This window comes from Homo sapiens, chromosome 8 (assembly GCF_000001405.40).
Source record: "Homo sapiens chromosome 8, GRCh38.p14 Primary Assembly".
NCBI classification, from domain to species: domain Eukaryota; kingdom Metazoa; phylum Chordata; class Mammalia; order Primates; family Hominidae; genus Homo; species Homo sapiens.
The window spans coordinates 82461489-82487269 of NC_000008.11; the positions used below are offsets into that span (position 1 = coordinate 82461489).

The 25781-nt window shown below is 32.8% G+C and overlaps 1 long non-coding RNA gene across 1 annotated transcript in view; it reads left to right on the plus strand.

The window, feature by feature from the left end:
• Positions 1-25781, plus strand: part of LOC105375931 (uncharacterized) — a 190238-nt gene that overhangs the window by 18766 nt on the left and 145691 nt on the right. The gene's annotated exons all lie outside the window — the stretch shown is intronic.

Sequence of the window (25781 nt, forward strand, 5' to 3'; positions counted from 1 at the left end):
TTTTTGGAGATGTAAAGAATCATTAGAACTATGTGCCAGAAAATTACATAACAATAATGAAAACTACATACTGGCAGAAAAGTATCAAGATTAAATGGACTGAAAAAAAATCTGAAAAAAGTAAGTGCAATTTATCTTAATTCTGACCCTGATTTGCAGTCTGGAGAGGAGCATATCATTTGGAGCCCTCTTGATGGGACTTTTCACCTGAAAATAAATGTCATCATTATACCCATCATGTACCAATATGACATGATAACATAAAGTTTAATGAGTGTACTTGTAAAATATTTTGAGTGCTTAGAGGGAAGATGCTTTATTACCTTGAGAACTTTTCCTTGAGGCTTGAAATAATGTGAAAATAATTTTATTTTAAAATTTATTACATCTATTTTAAAGTGCCACACTGTTTAAAAACAAAAACAAAAAGCAGTTTCTTGTAAGATATATAACAGCCAACCATTTTAATAGTATGATATTAGGATTGAAATTTTTTTAGAATAGTATTTATGATCAATAATAATATATAGCATTCCCAAAGTAAGCAAAGAAAACAATATAATAATAAATGTTAAATACATTTAAAATTAAATAAATTGTTAACTAAGAAAATTAAATATATTGTTAACTAAGAAAAATTAATGCTAAAAATCAGTGGCTTTTGTTTAATTTCAGTAAATTCATTGAAAACAAAATTTTGTTTAGATTTGAAAACCCATAGCATGGTGAATGATTATATACTGGGTTGTGTCTCAGAATTGATATAAAAGAAAAGCAATCTGTAAATAGCGATCTGTAAATCTGTAAATAGCAATCTGTAAAAATCTAAAAAATAGTTTTTTAGTTTTAAAACTCATTTACATATATATTTTTTAAAGTTAGACCTATGGAATTTACACTCTGTATGTGATGTTTGTGATCAACAGTCTATCTTTCCTTTTACTTAGTAAAGGAAGATTAATACTGCACTCATATTTCCAAGCATATAGACTCTTCTAAAGTTCGGTAAGAAAGTTGGCTAAAAAAGGAAGAAATTTTAATTATTTGATAGTGAAAGCCCAAGCTACAGATTATTTTATTTTTAATATTTAAAGTCCTTGAGATATGTCTTATTTCAGTGGCATGCCTAAGTCAAATCAATGAGTATGTTTCAAAATTACATGTGTTGCATTAGTATAATATTTTTAAAAATTTGACTAAGATGGCAATGCCATTAACAATAATGGGATATGTAAGATTTGTTTAAATTTACTTTCATTCATATAAAGCTTTTATTTCTTCCTTTGATATTTTATCTAAATATTCTTTTTAAATACTTGAAAATAGCACTTTAATGCTCTGTTCTCAGCTACACATACTCAATTATTTGAACTCTAATTTCTTACATTTAAAGTTTTGCTACTTTTTTTCAGTTTAATTTTATTTTAGTCATGCTAAAGCTCACTTTATAAGTTAAATTGCGCTTATGGCAAAGCAATGTGAATGGTAAAAACTACAAATAAATACACCAGAGAGTTCTTTTTTTATGGCTTATTTAATGTTTTAATGATTATAAAAAAGTCTTAAAAGACATTTAAAGGTAGGTGTTTTTCAAATTACCATCCAATATCTTTGTTTTCTGAATTTATGGATAACTTCAAAACATTTGAATTTAGTTGCCATTCAATTTTTAAGACTTTGGAAATTAAATGGATATATTAAAATGCATACATCAATTTCAAAATAATTCTCATTTTCATAGCTTTAAAACAAAATATAGCATTTATGTATCTTTCCAGAAATCATACACTTTTGAATTTTTAACACATGGCAAATTTCATCAGGTATGCATTAATATATCATCAAGCTAATTGATGTTTGCAAATATAATTGAAATCAAAGATTTATCTGATTTATACATATGCAATGTCATTTCACATTCCTATCTGTTCGTGAGTTAAAATATGTAAATATGTCTAAGAGAGAAGTAGGTGATGGAAATATGGTTTGAGGCATTGATATCGTATCCTAGTATACCTTTGGTTAACTACAATGTAGAATCAATTGAGATAATTAAATATTTTCCACTTTTTTTCTAATATTAAAAAGTTTAACATTGTTGATAGTAGAATGAAAATTCACTAGATCATAAAGAACTCAGGGTTAAGAATCAGACTGACAGCCAAATGCAGCAAATGTCATAATGATGACCTATTTGTCAGAGTTGTAAGAAAAATGTGAGATATGATAGATGTAATTTCTAGAAAAATATTGGTTTACAAGTATGCATTAGTATGTATTCAATTTATTCGGGATATATTTTAAGTGTTATTTTTTTCTGCAATTGCTGATGGTTCATTACCATTAATGTCTGATTCCTTAGAAACAGAGTTGCCTAATAACAGCCATTTATTTTGCTTACTTGACTGTTTTACAATTATGAAATCAAAGACATTTTAAGGCAGCCCAAATAGAATCTTTATTTTCCCAGAATATTTCTGATAATGTTGCTTAAGGATGCACATAAAATTAGCTTGAAAATCGAGAATGACATAGGCATGACATAAATTTTAAAAATTTCCGTATCATCTTAGATTCCCTTTACTGCATGAACTAGGCTGTTAACGAATAGTCTTTTAAGGAAAATATGTTTTTGCACAGAATTTGCTTTCAGTGAAGTAAGAGACATTTTCAGATGCTTGTGGCTATATCAGCACAAAACTAGCATGTTTATTAAACAGACAACATGCTTGGGATATCAGTATTTACTCATGTCAATTTGGGTGTGATCAAGGAGGTAGAAACACTGTGAAAGATATGGCATAAGGTACTCATTAAAGAGTGTATAATTTTTGAGTTATTTTTTTAAAAATGATTCTGTGAGAACCTATGGTTTCTGTAATTGGTGGAGGACCTGAATTTGCTCTAGAACTGTGGGCTAGTGCCAAGAAGAAATGTCCCAAGTGAAGCAGAGGTGAGTGAAGATAAAATAGAATTCAAGAAGATAAAATGAAATTTGTATCCTTCACTCACTGCAGGCACTCTTTGCCATGGTGCTACATGCAAACCTGTCCCAAGACATTGTTGAAGGAGGGTGTCCATTGGGACATTAAGCAATTATACGTGGCTGCTTCCTAATGCTCCAATGTGACACAGCACATCAGGGTCAACAGGGAGAAATTCAATAGGTCCTGGTGCTCATCATTGATCTTCAGAGCCAGATGGTTCCTGCCACACTCTGACTTCCAACTCAAACCTAACCTGTCATCACACAGGGAAAGGGATTTGGGGAATAGCTCAGTTTAGCTAAATTGAACTAGTACACAAATCAAAATATATGGACTCCTAAAAGATATGGCCCTAGGCTTAGAGAATTTAGCTTAATACAAGTATTAAGTATTATTAATAATAAGGCATGTGTTGCAACAATTGTAATATAAAATAGTGTGCTATGGCACACATAATTAGAGCCTTACATCTACAGTGTCATTACAGCCTTAGAAATTACCGCCTTCTTTCTGAGTGCTGAAGAGAGAAATTATCAATTGTTTTTATATATTGAATTTTTTACACCCCATCTCTTTTAAGTGTTGACTTATGACCATTTCATCAGCAATTCCTGTTTTTTTTTTTGGAATAGCAACAACTAAAACTAGAAAGGAATAGATTAAAAGTTTCTGGTTTAGATTTGACAACGTTTTTAAGAAATTTATTTCAATACATGTTCATATGTCTCTGATTCCTGGAAGTCATTGAAACCTTATCCACAAAGGACAAAGACCAAGGACACAGACTTCACAGTGAGCCATTTATAGCAGAGAAGTCCTGCAGATTTAGAAAAAGTAAGCAGGCTTTCCTTTTCTCCTGAGTTCCTGCCAGTCAATGCCAGTGTGACTTGCTCACTGGCATTGAGCTCAGCCTTAAAATCAAGAAGCATGAGGATCAAATTCCTTAATGCCAATAATTGGGATGTTTTGGAGAACTTAAAATGTTAAATATTAGAGATGAAAAAATTTAATAGCATTTAAGCATTTTTTAGCTCCTGTCATACCACTATAAATCTGTTTATCTGTACTATAATTTTAAAATGGTGCTTTTCCTAGGCATGTTTTAAATAAAATTTGTTAACTGGTTGTTGAACAGTTTGAACTCAGTAGGGCACAAACATGAAAATCAATTAGCATATTCGAAGTGACTATTATGTGCCAAGCTTCATAGGAAGCACCACAAGTGATATAAAAATGAATTAGGCATGACCCCAGCCTCAGAGAATTTAGCTTAGTAGAGGAAATAAGGCATGAGTAGCAACAATTGTGCTATAAAATAGACTGTGAAATGTCGCAAGACTATTAGAATCTTACATTCAAGCTATTATATGACTTTAAAGATCAATCACCAGATTCTTTCTAAGGTTGGACAAGAGAAGAAGCGTTGTTAGAGGTTGAATTTATTTAAACTCAAATGTCAATTTGTGGGCATTGTTATCAAATGAAAAAATATACACACATTTATTAAAAGTAGACTGCTTCTGACTGGCAGAATTTAAAAGTGGCATCTTAAAGGAGAGTATAGTATGGGAAAATAAATACTAGTTTTTGTAACTAAGTAAATTTAGATATTAACTTATTAATAATATCTTTTGGCCAAATGACCTAGACAAATTTAATTATAATTTTTTGGTCATCAAAAGTAGTCAAGAGCATTATATGGACTATCCAATTAATAATAGGACAATAACTTTTATCTCTAATGTGGTTATTATAAATATTTTAATGAACATTTATATTTTAATAAAATTCTATATATTCAGACTATTTTATTTTATTATATGTTATTTCAGTAGTTTTTGGGTAACAGGTGGTGTTTGGTTACATGGATAATTTCTTTAGCAGTGATTTCTAAGATGTTTGTGCACCTCTCACCAGAGCAGTATACATTGTACCCAATGTATAGTCTTTTATCCCTCACTCCCTCCCACCTTTCCCCCCAGGTGCCCAAAGTCCATTATGTCATTCTTATGCCTTTGTATCCTCATAGCTTAGCCCCCACTTATAAGTAAGAATATATGATATTTGGTTTTCCATTTCCATTCCTGAGTTACTTCACTTAGAATAATGGTCTCTAACGCCACCCAGGTCTTTGTGAATGCCATTATTTTATTTGTTTTTATGGCTGAGTAGTATTCCTGTGTGTGTGTGTGTGTGTGTGTGTGTGTGTGTGTGTGTAGGTATGTGTGTGTGTATATATATATGTATATATATATATACACACTGTGTTTATACATGTACTGTATATATACACACATGCGCTGTGTATATATACACACACACATACTATATATATATTATATTTACATATACTATATTTTTACTCATTGGTTGATGAATATTTAAGCTGGTTTCATATTTCTGCAATTACAAACAGTGCTGCTATAAACATGTGTGTGTAAGTGTCTTATTCATGTAATGACTTCTCTTCCTCTGGATATATATCCAGTAGTGGGATTGCTGGATCAAATGGTATTTCTACTTTTAGTTCTTTAAGGTATCTCCATACTGTTCTTCATAGTGGTTGTACTGGTTTATATTTCCACTAGCAGTGTAAAAGTATTCCTTTTTCAACACATAGACACCAGTATCTATTTTTTTTTATTTTTTAAATTATGGCCATTATTGCAGGAGTAAGATGGTATCTCATTGTGTTTTTAATTTGCATTTCCCTAATAATCAGTAATGTTGAGCATTTTTTCGTATGTTTGTTTGCCATTTATATACAAAAGATCATTCAAGGCTACTATGCACACACTCAAGGCTACTATGCACAATCTCATGACTGAATATGCACAGATCTCCTGATTGAATATTTTCATGAATTTATCTCCTCTGGATTTTCTGGTTTGTGTGCATAAGGTAAACATTTTCAATCAGGAAGAAATAGAAACTCCGAACAGACCAATAACAAGTAGCAAAATTGAAATAGTAATTAAAAAATGCCCACAAAAAAGTCCAGGACCAGACGGATTCACAGCTGAATTCTATCAGCCATTCAAAGAAGAATTGGTACCAATCCTATTGACTCTATTCCATAAGATGGAGAAAGAGGAAGTTCTTCTAAATGATTCTATGAAGCCAGTATCACCTTAATACCAAAACCAGGAAAGGAGGTAACAAAAATAGAAAACTGCAAACCAATATCCCTGAAGAAGATAGATGCAAAAACCTTCAACCAAATACCAGTGAACTGAATCCAACGTCATATCAAAAAGAATACACCGTGATCATGTGGGTCTCATACTCGGGATGCAGGGATGGTTCAAAATACCTGTCAATAAATGCAATATAGCACATAAACAGAATTAAAAACAATAATTATATGATCCTCTCAATAGACACAGAAAAAGCATTGAAAAAAACCCAGCATCCTTTTATGATTAAAACCCTCAGCAAAATTTGCATAGAAGGGACATACCTCAGAGTAATAAAAGCCATCTATGACAAACCCGCGGCCAATATCAAGTACTCAATCAAGACTCAATCCCTTTTACAACAGCTGCAAAAAAAAAATACTTATGAATATACCTAAGGAAGTGAAAGATCTCTACAAGAAAAACTACAAAACACTGTTGAAAGAAATCAATGATGATACAAACAAATGGAAACATATACCATGCTCATGGATTGGTAGAATCAATATAGTGAAAATGACCATACTGCCAAAAGAAATCTACAAATTCAATGCAATCCTCATCAAAATACCATCATCATTCTTCACAGAACTAGAAAAAAAATCCTAAAATTCATATAGAACCAAGAAAGAGCCACATAGCCAAAGCAAGACTATACAAAAAGAAGAAATCTGGAGGCATCACATTACCGAACTTCAAACTACACTACAAGGCTATAGTTACCAAAACAGTAAGGTACTAGTATAAAACAAGCAGATAGACCAATGGAAGAGAATAGAGAACCCAGAAATAAAGCCAAATATTTACAGCCAATTGATCTTTGACAAAGCAAACAAAAACATGAAGTGAGGAAAGGACACCCTATTCAACAAATTGTGCTGGGATAATTGGCAAGCCACAGGTAGAGAATGGACCTGGATCTTCATCTCTCACTTTATAAAAAAATCAACTCAAAAAATCCATCAAAGATGGATCAAAGACGTAACTGTAAGACCTAAAACCATAACAGTTCTCAACGATAACGTCAAAAAAACTCATCTTGACATTGGCTAAGTCAAAGAGTTCATGACCAAGAACCCAAAAGCAAATGCAACAAACACAAAGATAAATAGATAGGACCTAATTAAACTAAAAAGCTTCTGCATAGCAAAATAAATAATCAGCAGAATAGAGAGATAACCTACAGAGTGGGAGAAAACATTAACAAACTATGCATCCAGGAAAGGACTAATGTCCAGAAACTACAAGTAACTCAAACAAATCAGCAAGAAAACATCAAACAATCCCATCAAAAAGTGGGCAAAATACATGAATAGACAATTCTCAAAAGAAGATATTTAGAATATTTAAAGGAGATTTATTTATGTATACGTTATATGCAATTTAAACTTTATTTTTTCTTTCAAATTGCAGCTTTTCACAATGACTTTTTATTTTCAATCATTTATATTATTATGTAGTACCTATACGCTTTAAAAGACATGAGCAGATAAACCTCTTAATTTTAGAGAATACTCTAATGCAATTACACCTTTAGCAATTAAATTATGTAAATCTGTGGTCAAATTATAGTTTTAATCATCCTTTGCATTCTGTACTTCAATTTACCCCTCTAAGAAAATAATTATATATTACCATTTTGATAAGATCAACAGTTTTATAAGCTGCTGTGAAGAAATTGGGGGCAAAGTATATTTTTGAAACAGAGGTATGTGTTTGCAAGTTTCTAAGGAAACTAAATTTTTAAATGCAGTAATAACAACAGCAAAAATCAAAACAATCTGGATCAAGTTTCAAAAACCAAAATTTTACCCAAAAATATCAAACTATAATTCCATGTACTATACCTTTTGCAGAGATTTGCTAGAAATACAATGGATTTTGGGGGTTTTAATAAATGTGATGTTACATCTCAAATTAAATATGCCATATGTAGAAATAATTTAGCAATAATATTTTAAAACTCCTTGCAATTTTATATTATTTTGTTTATTGGTTTATATGGACAACATTTTGACTTTTTTTTTGCATAGAAACATAATTATCTCCTGCTTTTATTTAATATTTTATTTATCAAATATCAAACTAAATGTTTAAATATTAAATAAAACAAAGTATTAATATTAAGTGATTTTTGTAAGCCATAAATTTCTATATATGAGTATGTGTATATATGTATGTAATATTGTGTAATATCAATTGAATGCTAATGGTTATTAGTATCACTGTGATTACCATCAAATTCATTACATTACTCTGTTTGGAGTTCGGTATAATGCATTATTTGGAAGCTTATAGGCAAAAGGCAGAATGCTCTAGAAAGAGATGGGCTTTGCATGTTATCAGAGCTGTATTTGCACTTATTATTTACAGGTGTCTAATTGTTGACAGTAGATGCCAATAAAAGAAAAATGTTGAATATTGCAAAGTTATTTCATTGTTCCCAGGAAGACATGGGTTTGAATTTAAGCTCTGCCACCCCTGAATCATAAGGGCTTGGGAAAATTCCTCAAACCAGAATTACCAACTCTATTTTGGTAATGTTAAAAAAGTTACTGGCAGAATTTTTGTAAATACTATAAAGATAATTCTATAAAGGTAATAATTATGATCATCATCTATTCATTCTTTTAATCTTATAAAGGTGTAAAGACATAATATTTTATGGAGAGAATAAGTACATGCTTAATAATGTTATCCTGTTATGAATAGAAAACTCAGTTGCACTTGTTGTCTATAGGCGATTCTTATTAATTAACAGAAATATACTGGGTTGCAGTTGAAATGAAATTAAAGAATTTGCCATTTGTGTTAATTTATGCACCAGTCCCTGCAAGAATCAAGAGTTAAATGCAGAGGTCCTGGCACCCAGGCCAATGGCATCTAAAAAATAATTTTCAAAATATTTTTTGAATAACAGTGGTTTCAAAACTAGGTAATTATCTTCTCATTTATGTAAAATATCCAAGGTAGGTAAACCCATAGACACAAAAATAGTTTGATGGTTGCCAAGATCCAGGGGAAATAAGAAATGGAGAATGACTGTTTAATGGGTACAAGATTTTGGTGGGGGGAGGGTGATAAGATATTTTGGAATTAGATAGTGCTATAGGTTGAATAACCTTCTGAATGTACTAAATGGAACTGAATTATTTACTTTAAAAAGGTTAATGTTATTATATGTATTGCACCTGATTAAAGAAAAACTAGATAACAATAACATAATTAAATTTATGGGGGAAAATGTTTAAAAATTTCTTCAGAAAAAAAGATAATGGTCATATACAGGGTTCAGATACATTTTAATATGCATTTTTGTCCTATAAAATCAATGGCAGATCCTGAAGTTCCCAAAAAGAAGCAATGTTTCATTTGTTTGAAAGATAGGGAGATGAATAATATCTAAAATAAGCTACTGTACATTTTGACCAAAAAAAAAAAAAAAAAACCCCAGCAAGAATGGTATCATAATAACTGAATGGGGGACTTCCAGTTGAATGAAGGCATTAACTTGATTTGTCTACTGTTGGAAGAAATTATTTCAAGGCAAAAAATGACAAAAAGAAGCAAAATATAAATTAGACATCTAAGATTTTGTCTTAGTAAGTATGGGCTGCTATCACAAAGTATCACAGACTGGGGTCCTTATAAACAATAAAAATGTATTTCTCACAGTTCTGAGGTTGGAGGTTGGAATTTATAAGATCCACATGCCAACATGGTTGAGCCCCTGTGTGGGCCTTTTTCCAGGTTGCAAAGTGCTGTTTTCTTCTTGTATCCTCACATGATGGAAACAGAGCCAGCTATCTATCTGGCCTCTTCTTGTAAGGACATTAAACCCATTAATGAGGGACTGCTCCTCACAATCTAATTACTTCCCAAAGGAGCCACAAACAAGACCATCACATTGGGATTCAATTTCAACATATGAATTTTGGGGGTCACAAACATTCAGTGCATAGGAGGTACTAAACTATAAATTAGGACGGTTTGGAAAAATAAGGATATTCATCTAGAGGTTTCTGCAAGAGGAAGCCAAAATAATTTCCCAAAACTTTTCATATAAAAAACACCTAATGATGCAACTTTTCAAAAGTGACAGGCTAAGAGAAACATTGTAGAAGGTACAAAACATGGAGTCATATGAATATGTCCCTGTGGCTCTGGGGATAAGAGAGACTTTGCATTGCGAACAATGCTGCTGCTGCTCATTTCCATTATTCAGTGAAACTAAGCACTCATGAGCCAACAGATGAAAACCTTACCGTCATAGGAGAAACCTTTTAGTTTGGAACACAGTTCTCCACATAAACTACAAATTTACCACTCTTTCTTCAATGAGCAATCACAAACAAAGCAATACAGGATCTGTATAATGTTACAAAAAAGGAGGAGAAGAGTTAAAAAATAAATGGATAGTAGATGAATAATATCAAATAGAAGAAATGCATATTGTCAAGAAGAAGATAAAAATTATGCTCAATTGGCCAGGCACGGTGGCTCACGCCTGTAATTCCATCACTTTGGGAGGTCAAGGTGGACAGATTGCTTGAGGCCAGGAGTTGGAGACCAGCCTGGCCAAAATGACAAAACCCCATTTCTACTAAAAATACAAAAATTAGCCAGGTGTGGTGGCGGGCACCTGTAATCCCAGCTACTCAGGAGACTGAGACAGGAGACTCACTTGAACCTGAGAGGTGGAGGTTGCAGTGAGCCAAGATTGTGCCATTGCACTCCAGCCTGGGAGACAGAGCAAGACTCTAAAAAAATAAATAAATAAAAATAAAAACTCAATTATTTTTAAACACATTTAATAAAGTAATTGAAGCAAAATTAAAAGCAGAGTTACGAGAACTCAGAGAAGGCCCATTTAAAATAGCTACAAATGAAATACAATACCTAGAAATCAAGTTAACCAAAGAAATCAAAGATATCTACAAAGAAAACTATAAAACATTGATGCTAAAAATTTAAGAGGATACAAAAAATAGATATTTCATGTTTATGAAGAATCAATATTGTTAAAATGTCCATACTACTCAAAGCAATCTAGAGATTCAACATAGTTCATATCCAAATATCAATGACATTCTTTGGAGAAATAGAAAAAATAATCCAAAAATTCTAAAATGTATATGGAATCACAAAGAACCTAGAATAGCTAAGGCTCTCCTGAGCAAAAGGGGATAAAAAAAAAAAAACCCAAATACTGGGGTAATCAGATTACCTCATTTCAAATTATACTACAAAGCTACAGTAACCAAAAAAGCATGGTACTGGCCTAAAAGTAGAGCGCTATACCAGTGGAACATAATAGAGAACCCAGAAATAAATCTAGTTATCTATAGTGAACTCATTTTAGATAAAGGTGCCAAAAACATACATTGGGAAAAGAAAACTCTTTTTAATAAATGGTGCTAGGAAAGTTGGATATCCGTATGCAGAATGAAACTAGAGCCCTATCTCTTGTCATATGCAAAAATCCAATAAAAATGAGTTGTAAACTTAAATCTAAGACCTCAAACTATAAAACTACTAAAAGAAAAAAATGAGGAAACTCTCTAGCATGTAGAACTGGGCAAAGATTTCTTGAATAATACCCCACGAACACAGGCAACCGAAGAGAGAATTAATAAATGAAATCACATCAAATTAAAAACCTTCTGCACAGCAAAGGAAAGCAATCAACAAAGTGAAGAGACATCTCACAGAATGGGAGAAAATATTTGCGACTATCCATTTGACAAGGAAATAAGAACCAGAATATATAAAGAGCTCAAACAACTCCATAGAAAATAATACCCTGATTTAAAAATAGGCAAAGATTCTGAATAGATATTTCTCAAAAGAAGACATAAAATGGCTAACAAGTATATGAAAATGTGCTCAACATGAATGATCAGAGAAATGCAAATCCAAAAGTACAATGAGATATCATCTCACCCAAGTTAAAATGGCTGTTATCCAAATGGCAGGCAATAACAAATGCTGGTGAGGGTGCAGAGAAAGGGGAACTCTTGTACACTGTTGTTGGAAATATAAATTAGTACAACCACTATGGAGAAGAGTTTGGAGATTCCTCTATGGTAATAATTGACCTACCATATGATCCAGCAATCCCACTGCTGGGTATATAACCAAAAGAGAGAAAATCAGTATACAGAAGATATATTTGCAGTCTCATGTTTACTGTCGCACTATTCACAATAGCCAAGATTTGGAAGCAACCTAAATGTCCATCAACAGTCAAATGAATAAAGAAAATGTAGTACATATATGCAATGGAGTAATATTCAGCCATAAAAAAGAATAAGATCCTGTCATATGAAACAACATGAGTGGAAATGGAAGTCATTGTGTTAAGTGAAATAAGCCAAGAACACACACACAAACTTAGCATGTTCTCACTTATTTGTGGGAGCTAAAACTTAAAACCATTGAACTAATAAAGATAGAGAGTAGAATGATGGTTACCAAGGCTGAAAAAGATAGTGGGACAGGGAGGGAAACAGAGATGGTTAATGGGTACAAAATAGTCATATAGTCATAGTCATATAGAATGAATAAGGTGTTTTATTTGATAATACAACAAGGTGACTCTGATCAACAATAATTCATTGTACATTTTTAAATAACTAAAAGATTATAATTGGATTGTATGTAACACAAAGAAAGGATAAATCCTTGAAATGATGGATAAGCCATTTACACTGATATTATTACTCATTGTATGTCTGTATCAAAATGTCTAATATGCCCCATAAATAAATATACCTACTATGTACCCATAAAAAACTTCTATAGTAGATATAGAAAAGTATAACAATGAGATAAATAGTGAGCTGAAAGTACTCAGGAAATATGAATAAAATCGATACATCACTATTCTCTCTCTTAGCTGGTCATGAGATGAGGCATTCCTTTAAAAGATTTGGGATGCTGATATTTTGGGGGTTACATGTACAGAGGAGAGGATGATTATGAACTCTCTTCTTTTCCCTCTTTTCCTAGGGAGTTCTATGAAGTGATGGGGTTTCTCAAGACTAGAAATCATTCCAAACATTCATATTTTGGCATCATCTTTATTTTAGGCATGCATCAAGCACAGTATTTTTTAACATCTTTAACAAGTCATTACACAGAGAGAGATATAAATATATTACTTAGATGTATATGATTATAGAGGCATTATGGGAGAAAGGTATAATTTGTTGCCTAGCTTTTGAAAAGATTTGACTAAAATGTTTGTCTCTTAGATGCAACCATGTTGGCAAAGACATTTAGAATGAGATTTTGAGAACAGTTTCAACCTGCATATAAGATATATGATTGGAGGGCACAGGAATATTTTCTATTCTAGGTATTTTAAAAATTGATGTTTATTGTGTTTTCTACTTATCCAAAGTTATGTGGCAAAGAAATGCTCACAGATATTTTGAACACAATAGCATTCTACTATAATTGCAGGCACAAGAAGTGCATTCTTGAAAATCTCAATCATTGTTATAAATTGTTATTATAACATAGTGAGTATATCCAAGGATAAGATATTCCTACAAGGGTTAATGTTTGTCTCTCTCTCAGCATATTTTTAATATGTATTGAAAAAAATCTTTAACATTTATTCCATTAAGAGAAATGAAAATATCAACAGAAATAGTTTGAGACAGTCAGAAACTAAGAATATAATAGCATTAATTAACAGATATAAAGCATTAGAAATATGCTATTCTCCTTTATCGTAGAAAAATAAAATAATTAAAGAGGCATGTAGGCTATTACAGTCTAATCTCTCTCTCTTGGTATCTCCCTCTCACTTCTTATGTTTTTCCCTTTGGTAAGACTGAAAAATAATGCAAAAGAGCAATTTGCTAGGTTGAAAGAATTAAATTGATAGGTTCTAAAAATTTAAGAGACAAATCAATACAGAGCATCACTTCAAATCCTTAGACTAATTTGATTTGAAATCAACTCTTCTTTGTTCCTTGGCACATTTTTTTCCAGCATTTTCCACTGGGATAATGCTGTTTTATTAATAAAATTGAACTTGCATAAAAACACAAAGAATGAACATGTCTTCAATTATAGTGTCTACAAAGAAGTAGTTGAAACTATTCTGGCATAGCAACATCCTAAACTGTAATAGTGCAAACATACTTTGTAGCTCTGAAGTCACCCACTGACTTAGGTTATCTGTTCACAACATTGTGAATATCTTTTTCCTCACAGGTTCGTTCTTTATTTTTTCATTGCAAAATAGCCAAAAAGAAATACAGATGAAGGGTGAAATTCCTGCTTCCCAAGAGTTTATATGAGATGGGCAAATTGTTAATTAAATCAAAGAGTAATAATAGCTCAAGTATTGTAGGGATTCTGAAAAAAATAAAAAGAGAACTACCATATGATCCAGCAATCCCACATTGGGGTATTAATTATAAAAGATTGAAAACAGGATTTTAAAGACATATTTACACTAATGTTTATTGCAGCACTCCATACTATAGCAAAGAGCTAGAGACAACCTAAATGTTCACTGACAGACAAATGGATAAACAAAATGTAATATATATGTATATATATTTTATATGTTATATATATTATATATAATATATATAATATATGGAATGGATTATATGGAATATTACAATGGAATATTATAAAGCCTTTAAAAGAAAGGACTTCTGCTATATGCAGAACATGATAAATTTGAGGATATTATGCTAAGTGAAAGAAGCCAGTGACAAAATGACAAATAATGCATAATTCCACCTATATCAGGTTTCCGGAGTAGTCAAAATCATCCAAACCTAAAGTAGGGGTGTGGTTGCCAGGGTCTGCAGGAAGAGGGAAATGGGAAGTTGCTTTTCAATAGATATAGAATTTTAGCAATGCAAGATAAATGTTCTAGATATCTGTGGTACAACAATGTGCATATTCTGTTATGTTCTGCTATGCCCTTAAACATTTGTTAAGATGGTAGGTTTTATGTTATGCCTTTTACCATTTTAAAAGGAATAGCAGAATGCATTGAGACTGTGTCTGAAAAAATAAATATTTGCATGTTCTATCAAGAAAAAGAACAAAAACTACGCTAGGCATTCTAAATTCTGAATAAGGCCCACTGCAATTTCTGTTGGCTCTGTACTTTTAATGATACCTTTCGGCTGTATTACCGTACACCTAGCAGTTAACTCCTAAAACGTGTGTTATCTGCTTCTAAGTCAGAAACAAACATATAAGCCATTAATTGGAATTATAAAATGAAAATGTTTTCCCCTTTCCAATAAAGGACACATAACAATATTGGTAGTGCAAAGTGTTTTTGTTAAGTCGGTACCTATAATTCTGTGCCCAGTATCCTCTTCTGCCACATTTCCCCAAAACACTCTCTGTATGTCAAGTGGTAAAATATAAATTACAAGTGGTAAAATATAAATTACATAAGCTGACCTTCAGTAATAGTCATTTTATGTGAAAACAAAAACATCGTTTCTGCCTTTTTTCCCCTTTCTTCATCTCATATTCTTTTCACTACAGATTTATATCAATAACATAAAGTAATACACTAAAAAGATTTCAGTCATGAGAACTAATTAAAAATTCCTCTATATGAATGCAACACTGTGTTCATTATTTTGCAGATTATATGAGATATGCCCTTCTTATTAATAGGGGTTATTTTTAACTTAATCACTATCCTTATAATCTCTTTTTCATATTTTGGAAGTTCAACTAGTAATATTTTGTTAATATAGTATTTATATGCTATGGGTAAAACATGATATATTCTTATAGAGCATAAGATTCTAAATATAATTAATGTACATGTTTTAGAAAAACTAAAATACTTTTACTTTTACACTTCTATGATTCATCTAAACTTAGCAGCATGTATTCATGAAAGTTGCCATTCAAGAAGATGAAAACACTGACAGGTTACATAAAATAGATTAATATTGTCTGGCCACTATTGTAACACAACCATTATCCCAACAGCTAGGAATCACTAAAAAACAAATATAAAAGAAAATTTAAAAATCAAGCCTTGACTGTCAGAAAAAAATTTAAAGTAGAGTGGCTAAGGAACGGAAAGAAAAGTACTGCCTGATTTCATTCATGTGACGTCTAAAGAAGTTGATTTCACTCATGCGACATCTAAAAAAATTGAGCTCATAGAGATAGAGATAGTATCATGATTAACCAGAGGCTGGGGATGAGGAGTTGGGGAGAAATTGGTCTAAGAATATAAAATTTCAGTTACTTAAGAGAAATGAGTTCAAGAAATCTATGATACAACATGGAGACTATAGTAAATATTTATGTATTGTACTTTGAAAATAGCTGAGAGTGTATTTTAAGTATTCTCACCACAAAATTTTATGTATGTGGGATAATGCATATGTTGATTACCTTGAATAATTCTATAATGTATACATATTTCAAAATATCATTTGTACACAAAATATATATACAATTTTTATTTGTTAATTAAAAAGTAAAATTTAAAAAAAAGTCAGGTATGTTTATATCCCAGCTTGCCAATTAAACCTGTTGTCTCTGAGTAATCATAGATAGCACTTCTTTCACTCTCAAAAGTATCTTCTTGAAGGTTCATCTTTCTGCCTTTGAAAAATTGGAATGTAATATACTGGTTCATCTTTCTGCCTTTGAAAAACTGGAATGTAATATACTGAGCCAGTAAAACATTAAATAAAATGCTATTCCCTGCTGTATGAGTTAGACAAATTCTTAATGGTTTCTCTGAAACTGTGTTTCTTATTAAGGCTGGCATAATGTCTGACATCTACTAGAAATTATAATATTTAAACACGGAAACTTAATTTAAAAAATCCACAAGAACTGATATATCACAGCTAACCCATTAGTACTAAAGAGAGATACACCGAGAAACTATATCATACTTTAGCAAGATTTTCACCAAAATGATAACTCTAAATTTTACAAGAACACCTTAGTTCATTAAAAATATTCAACAATTGCTTTTGATTGCCATATTTGATTGTTATGGGCTGACATTGGGAGTAAAGTTTCTTAGGGGATGCAAAGAATCTTTGGGGTCCTCAGCAAACCCTCCACAATATCACTAATGCTCTATATGCCAATAAGTGCTCATTCAAACTTCAATGTTACCATTACATAAATTCTAACTTGCAAAAAAGATGAACAAGTAATAGGTATAGTAATGAAATGGCAGTTAATACATTAGATTATTTTTTAACCAGTTAAAAAAATTAAAAGTTCAAAATATGATTTAAAGAGGAAAACAAATTTTATCATTCTTTTTTTTAATTTATCATTTTTTCGAGACAGGGTCTCACCCTGTTATCCAGGTTGGAGTGCAGTGGTGCAATCTTGGCTCACTGCAACCTCCTCTTCTCGGGTTCAAGCAACTCTCCTGCCTCAGCCCCCTGAGTAGCTGGGACTACAGGCGCCTGCCACCACGCCCAGCTAACTTTTGTATTTTTAGTAGCGATGGGGTTTCACCATGTTAGCCAGGATGGTCTTGATCTCTTGACCTCGTGATCCACCAGTCTCAGCCTCCCAAAGTGCTAGGATTACAAGCGTGAGCCACCACGCCTGGCCTCATTCTTAAAACTACACAGAGGATCGATCAGTTTTAACAAATGTACCACTCAGGTGTAGGATGTTGTTGATAAAAGAGCCTAAGCATGTATTGGGGCAGGTGGTGGTCTAGAATTCTCTGTACTTTCTGTGTAATTTTGCTATAAACCTAACATTTCTCTAAGAAAATTAATTTTTAATAGAATTTAATAACAAAAACAAAACAATAAACCCCCATATATACATAGGAATAGTAGCTCTCAATCTTTATGTGCACCAGAATCACCTGGAGGCTGCTTAAAATAGGCTGTTGGGCCTATCCCTAGTCTCTCCCATTTGGTTTGGATGAGGCACAATGATTGCGTTCATAAAAAGTTCCCAGGTGGTACCAATTCTGCTGGTCCTCAGAGCACGCTCAGAATGAAAATGTTTCATCTCCAACAAGCAAAAAATAATGCATGCAAAAAGCATTTCTGTGTAAGTAACTGCTAATTTTGAAAGACTGGTTAGCTAAACATGAAAGATTATAGGATACCAACCAGGTAAAGACCTTTTCCAGGAATTCTACTTAAAATTATTTTCTGAACCATGATTGGTCTCATTCTTTTAACTGAAACGGCTAGCTCTTCTCCAAGTTAGGTTTATAAATGCTGGCTGAAACATAACATAGTTTTTAAAAAAAAAAATAAGGTGTTTTTCTATTTAATATTTATCAAGAATGAATCAGTAAATAGATAATATAATAAACAATCTCATATTAATAGTTTTTCCAAACAATGATTTACTATCCTAAATGATATGTACAATAATTGTAATTTTAGTAAAGTAGTGTAGAATTCAAAGCTTTTGTCAATAAATTATGATTGAGGAAATGTATACCCAATATTTCAGGGTCATAAAATGTAATTAAGTATTTTATCAACATCATTGAATTAAAAGAAAAAAGTATTTTACTGACATTTGAAAAGACTAAAAGTAGCAATTACATAGATGCATTGTGTTGTACAGATAGATTATTATTACACAATTTTATCATGTTAATGCCACTTAGACTTCTCTCAAGAGTCAAGAGAAAGTAATGAGAATATAGGCTGACACAATTATTTATCATTAGCATGATTATTAACATCATTCATTACTACATTTATCATTTCTAGATAAAGCTTGAACTCAGACATTCTACAACTTATTAGGAACATTTTTCAATATTTTAGATTTTCTGTCTTACATGTTGATTCAAACTCATATAATTATTTAAATACCTAAGCATAGATATTTTAGACTGATTAGGAACATTAGAGTGATTAGGAATGATCTAACAATTTTAGGTCACAAATAAACAGAGGCACAGAGAAGTTTTGGTGGTTCTTCCAATTTGTTATCGTCAGTGGCAGAACCCAGAATCAGAACTTACACCTTAGCACTTTGCTCAGTGATCTTGCCTTAGTACCTTTCTGCCTCTCTGCCTTTACAACCTGATGAGGCAAATGAAAAGAATAGTGGCATGTATCATAACAGACACCGGAAAACTAACTAATGAGAACCAGCTTGTGAATGCTTCTCCACCTGAAATTCCCCTCAGGCAGCTAAGGTTAACAAAATACCTTCTGCTGAGAGTAAAAAGACAGAGAATTATTCTCTAGGACAAGGGCAAGGTGTTTCCAGGAAAGGCCATAGATCTGGAATTTCTCGTTCATTTATGAACTAATGGAGCATGATTTCATCAGTTTTCAGGATGTTGTCAAAAACATTTAACTGACTTTTGTGTAAATTTAGACTTGCCACCTATTCACAGTCTTTCAGAATTGTATTTTCATTCCCAAATATTGTTTACCTGTTAGATTTAATGATGTTTTGGATTTTAAAAGATAAAAATTTAAATAGGAAAAGGAAATTTGAAAGGATAGTTGGTAAGGATTTGAAATAGTATTAGAGATTCAGGAAACTGCATTTTACAATGTAGCTCTTTTCTATGTTACAAGAAGCGGTGTCTGTTGTACTCTGTGTGGAAGTTAGACTGCTGTGTGCACAAAATATCTGCCGAGTCAGAAAATTCATTTTCCTGACCAGAAAAATCTGTTCAAATCCATTGATACCAAAGAGAAAGTAAATATTCAAAAATGAAGAGAACACAGGCTGGGTCAGAAAGAAAGATTCAAATTCTTGACATTTCACTTTGTGAGACTGGGCAACAGCACAGAGCACGATGAGGGCCCCAGGACTCATTATTTATCTATTCAGGTTTTCTATTTCTTCATAATTCAATTGTTGTAGGTTGCATGTGTCCAGGAATTGATTCATTTTTTCTTAAGTTTTGTAATTTCTTGGCACATCGTTGTTCATAATATTATCTAATGGTTCTTTGTGTTTCTGTAGTTTCAGTTGTAATGTCTTCTTTTTCATCTCGGATTTTATTAATTTGCATCTTCTCTCTCTCTATAGTTAGCCTGGCTAAAGTTTTGTCAACTTTATTTATTTTTTTTTCAGAAAAACAAGTCTTCATTTCATCAATCTTTTGTGCTTTTTAGTCTTGATTTTATTTATTTATGATTTGATTTTTCTTATTTATCTTTTCCTACTAATCTTGGATTTAGCTTGTTCTTTTTTTTATTTTACTTTAAGCTGTAGAGTACATCTGCACAATGTGCAGGTTTGTTACATATGTATACATGTGCCATTTTGGTGTGCTGCACCCATTAACTCCTCATATACATTAGGTATATCTCCTAACGCTATCCCTCCCCCCTCCCCCAACCCCACGACAGGCCCCAGTGTGTGATGTTCCCCTTCCTGTGTCCATGTGTTCTCATTGTTCAATTCCCACCTATGAGTGAGAACATGCAGTGTTTGGTTTTTTGTCCTTGCAATAGTTTGCTAAGAGTGATGGTTTCCAGCTTCATCCATGTCCCTGTAAAGAACATGAACTCATCCTTTTTTATGGCTGCATAGTATTCCATGGTGTATACATGCCACATTTTCTTAATCCAGTCTATCATCGTTGGACATTTGGGTTGGTTCCAAGTCTTTGCTATTGTGAATAGTGCCGCAATAAACATATGTGTGCATGTGTCTTTATAGCAGCATGGTTTATAATCCTTTGGGTATATACCCAGTAATGGGATGGCTGGGTCAAATGGTATTTCTAGTTCCAGATACTTGAGGAATTGCCACACTGTCTTCCACAATGGTTGAACTAGTTTACAGTCCCACCAACAGTGTAAAAGTGTTCCTATTTCTCCACATCCTCTCCAGCACCTGTTGTTTCCTGACTTTTTAATGATCACCATTCTAAATGGTGTGAGATGGTATCTCATTGTGGTTATGATTTGCATTTCTCTGATGGCCAGTGATGATGAGCATTTTTTCATGTGTCTGTTGGCTGCATAAATGTCTTCTTTTGAGAAGTGTCTGTTCATATCCTTCACCCACTTTTTGATGGGGTTGTTTGTTTTTTTTCTTGTAAATTTGTTGGAGTTCATTGTAGATTCTGGATATTAGACCTGTGTAAGATGAGTAGGTTGCAAAAATTTTCTCCCATTTTGTAGGTTGCCTGTTCACTCTGATGGTAGTTTCTTTTGCTGTGCAGAAGCTCTTTAGTTTAATTAGATCCCATTTGTCAATTTTGGCTTTTGTTGCCATTGCTTTTGGTGTTTTAGACGTGAAGTCCTTGCCCATGCCTATGTCCTGAATGGTATTGCCTAGGTTTTCTTCTAGGGTTTTTATGGTTTTAGGTCTAACATTTAAGTCTTTAATCGATCTTGAATTAATTTTTGTATAAGGTGTAAAGAAGGGATCCAGTTTCAGCTTTCTACATATGGCTAGCCAGTTTTCCCAGCACTATTTATTAAATAGGGAATCTTTTCCCCATTTCTTGTTTTTGTCAGGTTCCTCAGATATCAGATTGTTGTAGATGTGTGGTATTATTTCTGAGGGCTCTGTTCTGTTCCATTGGTAGAATGTCTTTTATATATTTTAATCATGAGCAGAAGAAATCTTAGGGAAAAAAGAATATTTGTTAATTTTTAAAGGTGCTATGTGAGAAAATGTGCTGTTTGTGTAGATACATATCTTATACTGAAATGTCAGGGCAAGAAATCTAGAGGGAAAATAATGCAATAAATAGTGTAAATCTATAGACAACCTGAGATATGGTCATACTAAGAAATTTTTTTTTCAAAATAAAAATAATAAAAGAGTATTCAAGGTACATAGAGGCTAAGTAATGTTTTCTTGAAAATCCATATAAGAACAAGAATACTAGAATTTTCACAGCTAAATTTAAAGAACCTGAAAAATGTATGTAAAATATTTTAATCACCTTAATACTTGTTATTGCTTCACAAATCAAAGAGTTAGGACAGCAAATATTAAATAATATTTTTTATGAACAAGTTGCAGAAGAAGATCTCTCTAAAAAAAAGTAAATGATTGATAACTCACATTTCCAATCTATACAATTTATATATGGATCTTTTTTTTCTCTGAAATGACTCAAATATTCATGAAAACAGTGGGCAAACAAATATACACAATTAAGAGGATATTCTTATTTTCTAATCTAGATGCAACTTTGGGGAATATTGATGTAGCTTGGAATATCAAATTAGACTTAAGATGAGCACTCAAACTCTAAATCTAAATGTCTGAATTTTTGTACTAGTTTGGCAGCTTTTAAATCTATGAGCCTTGAATCCAGCAGCACATCAAACAGCTTATCCACTATGGTAAAGTGGGCTTCATCCCTGGGATGCAAGGCTGGTTCAACATACGAAAATCAATAAATGTAATCCAGCATATAAACAGAACCAAAGACAAAAACCACATGATTATCTCAATAGATGCAGAAAAGGCCTTTGACAGAATTCAACAACCTTCATGCTAAAAACTCTTAATGAATTAGGTATTGATGGGACGTATCTCAAAATAATAAGAGCTATCTATGACAAACCCACAGCCAATATCATACTGAATGGGCAAAAACTGGAAGCATTCCCTTTGAAAACTGGCACAAGACAGGGATGCCCTCTCTCACCACTCCTATTCAACATAGTGTTGGAAGTTCTGGCGAGGGCAATCAGACAGGAGAAGGAAATAAAGGGCATTCGATTAGGAAAAGAGGAAGTCAAATTGTCCCTATTTGCAGATGACATGATTGTATATCTAGAAAACCCCATCGTCTCAGCCCAAAATCTCCTTAAGCTGATAAGCAACTTCAACAAAGTCTCAGGATACAAAATCAATGTGCAAAAATCACAAGCATTCTTATACACCAATAACAGACAAACAGAGAGCCAAATCATGAGTGAACTCCCATTCACAATTGCTTCAAAGAGAATAAAATACCTAGGAATCCAAATTACAAGGGACAGGAAGGACCTCTTCTAGGAGAACTACAAACCACTGCTCAATGAAATTAAAGAGGATACAAACAAATGGAAGAACATTCCATGCTCATGGGTAGGAAGAATCAATATCGTGAAAATGGCCATACAGCCCAAGGTAATTTATAGATTCAATGCCATCCCCATCAAGCTACCAATGACTTTCTTCACAAAATTGGAAAAAACTATTTTAAAGTTCATATGGAACCAGAAAAGAGCCTGCATCGCCAAGTCAATCCTAAGCCAAAAGAACAAAGCTGGAGGCATCACACTACCTGACTTCAAACTATACTACAAGGCTACAGTAACCAAAATAGCATGGTACTGGAACCAAAACAGAGATATAGATCAATGGAACAGAACAGAGCCCTCAGAAATAATGCTGCATATCTACAACCATCTGATCTTCGACAAACCTGACAAAAACAAGCAATGGGGAAAGGATTCCCTATTTAATAAATAGTGCTGGGAAAACCGGCTAGCCATATTTAGAAAGCTGAAACTGGATCCCTTCTTTACACCTTATACAAAAATTAATTCAAGATGGATTAAAGACTTACATGTTAGACCTAAAACCACAAAAACCCTAGAAGAAAACCTGGGCAATATCATTGAGGACATAGGCATGGGCAAGGACTTCACGACTAAAACACCAAAAGCAATGGCAACAAAAGCCAAAACTGACAAATGGGATCTAATTAAACTAAAGAGCTACTGCACAGGAAAAGAAACTACCATCAGAGTGAACAGGCAACCTACAAAATGGGAGAAAATTTTCATAACTTACTCATCTGACAAAGGGCTAATATCCAGAATCTTCAATGAACTCAAACAAATTTACAAGAAAAAAACAAACAACCCCACCAAAATTGGGCGAAGGATATGAACAGACACTTCTCAGAAGAAGACATTTATGCAGCCAACAGACACGTGAAAAAATGCTCATCATCACTGGCCATCAGGGAAATGCAAATCATAACCACAGTGAGATACCATCTCACACCAGTTAGAATGGTGATCATTAAAAAGTCAGGAAACAACAGGTGCTGGAGAGGATGTGGAGAAATAGGAACACTTTTACACTGTTGGTGGGACTGTAAACTAGTTCAACCACTGTGGAAGTCAGTGTGACGATTCCTCAGGGATCTAGAACTAGAAATACCATTTGACCCAGCCATCCCATTACTGGGTATATACCCAAAGGATTATAAATCATGCTGCTATAAAGACACATGCACACATATGTTTATTGCGGCACTATTCACAATAGCAAAGACTTGGAACCAACCCAAATGTCCAACAATGATAGACTGGATTAAGAAAATGTGGCACATATACACCATGGAATACTATGCAGCCAAAAAGAGGATGAGTTCATGTTCTTTGTAGGGACATGGATGAAGCTGGAAACCATCATTCTCAGCAAACTATTGCAAGGACAAAAAACCAAACACTGCATGTTCTCACTCATAGGTGGGAATTGAACAATGAGAACACATGGACACAGGAAGGGGGACATCACACACTGGGGACTGTTGTGGGGTTGGGGGAGGGGGGAGGGATAGCATTAGGGGATATACCTAATGCTAAATGATGAGTTAATGGGTACAGCACACCAACATGGCACATGTATACATATGTAACAAACCTGCACGTTGTGCACATGTACCATAAAACTTAAAGTATAATAATAATAAAATAGAATAAAGAAAAAATAGCATAATCCTTTTGGTACCTACTTTCCTTATATATTAAATGAGGAGACTAAATAAAATAATTTCCTCAGAGGAGTTTACAAGTCTTCTGCTGTTAGAAGTCTACCTGGCTAAGTCTTATAATGTTTAGGAGATTAATCATCAAGGAGATTTCCTATCATGCATTACTGCTTCATATATATTCTAGCTCCAAATATGTGAAAATGTGGGAAGAAAATGGGATGATAGGATTATAAAGTCACAGGTTTGGAGTAGCTCTCATTGAGATAATACAGAAAGAGGTAAAAAGCAAAAACATATCACACATAGCCCAATTCAATGCCGGTTGCTCTGAAAATGAATATTCACTATCCTCAGACAACATAAATCAGCCCTCCTCTGGTATACCCTGAAATTTAGTATACTGCACTTTACTCAGTCCCCTGCATGAAAGTCTCCTCCATTAGACTGCATACTCCTCTAAATAAGAAACCACTAGTCTGTATTTTCACAGCATCTAGCAAAATGTCTAACACCCTATAAGCCAGCAGTAGTGTTTTCAATTCTATTGAGAATTTAAATTTAAATGAACCTAGTGTACAATGGAAAACTTTTAAAAAGTCTTTCTCAGACCCACTGTCCCCATATATAAAGCTACACGGAAAAAATTAGGAAAAGCCTAACATGACAATATTTAGATAATTAATGAGCTGCTTTTTAAAATTTAGTGAAGCAAGTATTTTGTACAATGACTGTCACTGCAGATATTCTAATATGATATGTATATATATTGCATAACTCATTTTGTTTTACATATATGTAAAATTTTCTAAATCTATGTAAATCTAGAAAAACTTTAAAACTATTATTGAGCTAAATTATATTTTTATACTCCGATTTATTAAAATAAAAACTCATCTAATTCCTCTAATAACTTGCACATTTTATTTACTTTAGAAC